General features: G+C 47.7%; 1 annotated feature.

The window, feature by feature from the left end:
* Positions 1,440 to 1,630: a silencer, noted in NCBI's record as "fragment chr8:37845776-37845966 (GRCh37/hg19 assembly coordinates)". NCBI's record gives its function as "represses an EF-1alpha promoter that drives an FKBP-Casp9 reporter gene in an ReSE screen in K562 erythroleukemia cells {active_cell/tissue: K562}" and the evidence as "EXISTENCE:reporter gene assay evidence [ECO:0000049][PMID:32094911]".

The raw sequence follows: 3,231 nt of genomic DNA, 5'->3' as shown, positions 1-3,231 counted from the left end.
AAATGTTGATGAAATAATTTATTTATTTATTTATTTATTTATTTTGTGATGGAGTCTTGCTCTTTGCCCAGGCTGGAGTGCAGTGGCTTGATCTCAGCTCACTGCAACATCTGCCTCCTGAGTTCAAGTGATTCTCCTGTCTCAGCCTCCTGGGTAGCTGGGGTTACAGGCACGTGCCACCACCCCCAGCTAATTTTTGTATTTTTAGTAGAGATGGGGTTTCACCATGTTGGACAGGCTGGTCTCGAACTTCTGACCTCAGGTGACCCTCCTGCCTCAGCCCCACAAAGTGCTGGGATTATAGATGTGAACCACCATGCCCAGTCCGATGAAAAAAATTTTAAAAGACCTAAGTAAATGGAGAAATACACTGTGGTCATGGAGTGGAATACTCAATGTAGTAAAGAGGTCAATTCTCCCCAAATTGAGTCAGGTGCAGTGATGTACACCTGTAGTCCCAGCTACCTGGGAGGCTGAGGCAGGAAGATCCCTTGAGCCCAGGAGTTTGAGGCTGTAGTTGAAATGATCGCATCTGTGAATAGCCACTGCACTCCAGCCTGGGCAATATAGTGAGACTCCATCTTCAAAATTTTTTTTAATTTTTAGTTTTATTTATTTCTTTTTTTTCTTTTTTTTTTTTTTTTTGAGACGGAGTCTCGCTCTGTCGCCCAGGCTGGAGTGCAGTGGCGGGATCTCGGCTCACTGCAAGCTCCGCCTCCCGGGTTCACGCCATTCTCCTGCCTCAGCCTCCCAAGTAGCTGGGACTACAGGCGCCCGCCACTATGCCCGGCTAATTTTTTGTATTTTTAGTAGAGACGGGGTTTCACCGTTTTAGCCGGGATGGTCTCGATCTCCTGACCTCGTGATCCGCCCGCCTCGGCCTCCCAAAGTGCTGGGATTACAGGCGTGAGCCACCGCGCCCGGCCTTATTTATTTCTTTATTTTGAGACAGAGTCTCATTCTGTCACCCAGGCTGGAGCACAGTGATGAGATCTCGGCTCACTGCAACCTCCACCTCCCAGGTTCAAGTGACTCTCCTGCCAAGTAGCTGAGATTACAGGTGGGTGCCACCACACCTGGCTAACTTTTGTATTTTTAGTAGAGACAGGGTTTTGCCATGTTAGCCAGGCTGGTCTTGAACTCCTGACCTCAGGTGATCCACCCGCCTTGGCCTCTCAAAGTGTTAGGATTCCAGGCGTGAGCCACTGAGCCCAGCCAAAAATAATTTTTTTTAGAAGTGTAATTACTATTAAAATCCCAGCAAAGTATTTTGTAGACATAGACAAGTTTATTCTAAAATGTACATGGGAAAATATAGACTCTAGGAACAGGAAAATAATCTTGGGAAAAAAAGAAAGATGAAAGTGGGAGGAATTACTCTACCTCTTATTAAGATAAAATAGATACTGTAGAAGAACAGGATGAAAGAAAAAGGGAGATCAAACTCTGGCCAGCCCTCCTCTGAGATAGTGGAGACAGAATCCCAGGGGCTTGCTTTCATCTGATAGCTGAAGCATCAATGGTCACATGGTCACTGGAAGGCTGTGGGCGTACAGGAAGCTTGGTTTCCCTGAGAAAATTCCCATCTCTTTAAGCTCCTTTGAGAGTAGCTGGAACTTTAGTGAGAAGAGTCCACCATGCCTGGAAGAGAGATTCTAAAATGCTGCTGGTTTCTTGAGGTTGTCTCATGGGTGAGTTGAATGTTCTACTTCTTTCCCCACGTGCACCCGAAATTTGAAGGCAGAAGAGCATCAGGTTCCTGGTTTGTTTGTTTGTTTGTTTATATATTTATTTATTTTGAGAAGGAGTCTCAGTCTGTTGCCTAGGCTGGAGTGCAACAGTGTGATCTCGGCTCACTGCAACCTCTGCCTCCTGGGTTCAAGCAATTCTCCTGCCTCAGCCTCCCAAGTAGCTGGAATTACAGGCACCTGCCACCATGTCTGGCTAATTTTTAAATTTTTAGTAGAGACGGGATTTCACCGTGTTGGCCAGGCTGGTCTTGAACTCCTGACCTCAAGTGATCCGCCCCCCTTAGCTTCCCAAAGTGCTGGGATTACAGGGATGAGCCACCACGCCCAGCCTGTTTCCTGGTTTATAGTTGTGTGCTAGGCTGATATGGTTTGGCCCTGTATCCCCACCCAAGTGTCATGTCGAATTGTAATTCCCAGTGTTGGAGGAGGGGCCTTGTGGGAGGTGACTGGATCACAGGGGCAGACTTCCCCCTTGCTGTTCTTGTCACAGAGTTCTCATGAGATCTGGTTGTTTGAAAATGTGTAGCCTCTCCTCTTCACTCTCACTCTCTCCTGCTCTGCTGTGTGAGGATGGTGCTTGCTTCCTTTTTGACTTCTGCCATGATTGTAAGTTTCCTGAGACCTCCCCAGAAGCTGAAGCCTGTATAGCTTGCAGAACCATGAGCTGATTATACCTGTTTTCTTTATAAATTACCCAGTCTCTGGTATGTCTTTATAGCAGTGTGACAATGGACCCAGCCCAGCCTAGACTACATTATTTTCTCTTTTGCCCCCTGTGAACTCTCATTTTTTTCCCAATGGAATGATAATGGGAAGAACTCTCATTTTAATAGGGGAAAGGAGGGCCAGGCATGGTGGCTGATGCCTGTAATTCCAGTGCTTTGGGAGGTCGAGGCAGGCAGATCACCTGAGGTCAGGAGTTTGAGACTAGCCTGGCCAACATGACGAAACCCTGTCTCTACTTAAAATACAAAAATTAGCCAGTCATGGTGGCGGGTGCCTGTAATCCCAGCTACTCAGGAGGCTGAGGCAGGAGAATCACTTGGACCGGGAGGTGGGGGTTGCAGTGAGCCGAGATCATGCCATTGCACTCCAGCCTGGGTGATGGGCGACAACAGTGAAACTCCATCTCAAAAAAAAAAAAAAAATACATGAAGAAGCAAGACTGAAATTGGGACTACCTAGACGAATCCCACACAAAGGTGAAATCAGGCTGGCCCTCCTTCCCCAGCCAAGCTCTGGTTTGGAATCAGTGAGGCAACCAGACCCTCATCCTGTGGGCCTTTCCTCTTCCAGTACCCCATGACTCATTAAAAGGTGAAGCGTGGCCAGGTGCGGTGGCTCACGCCTGTAATTTCAGCACTTTGGGAGGCCGAGGCGGGCGGATCACCTGAGGTCAGGAGTTCGAGATCAGCCTGGCCAACATGATGAAACTCCATCTCTACTAAAAATACAAAAATTAGCTGGGCGTGGTGTTGCA

This window comes from Homo sapiens, chromosome 8, assembly GCF_000001405.40.
Source record: "Homo sapiens chromosome 8, GRCh38.p14 Primary Assembly".
Classification (NCBI taxonomy): Eukaryota; Metazoa; Chordata; class Mammalia; order Primates; family Hominidae; genus Homo; species Homo sapiens.
This window is presented reverse-complemented; position numbering and strand designations above follow the sequence as displayed.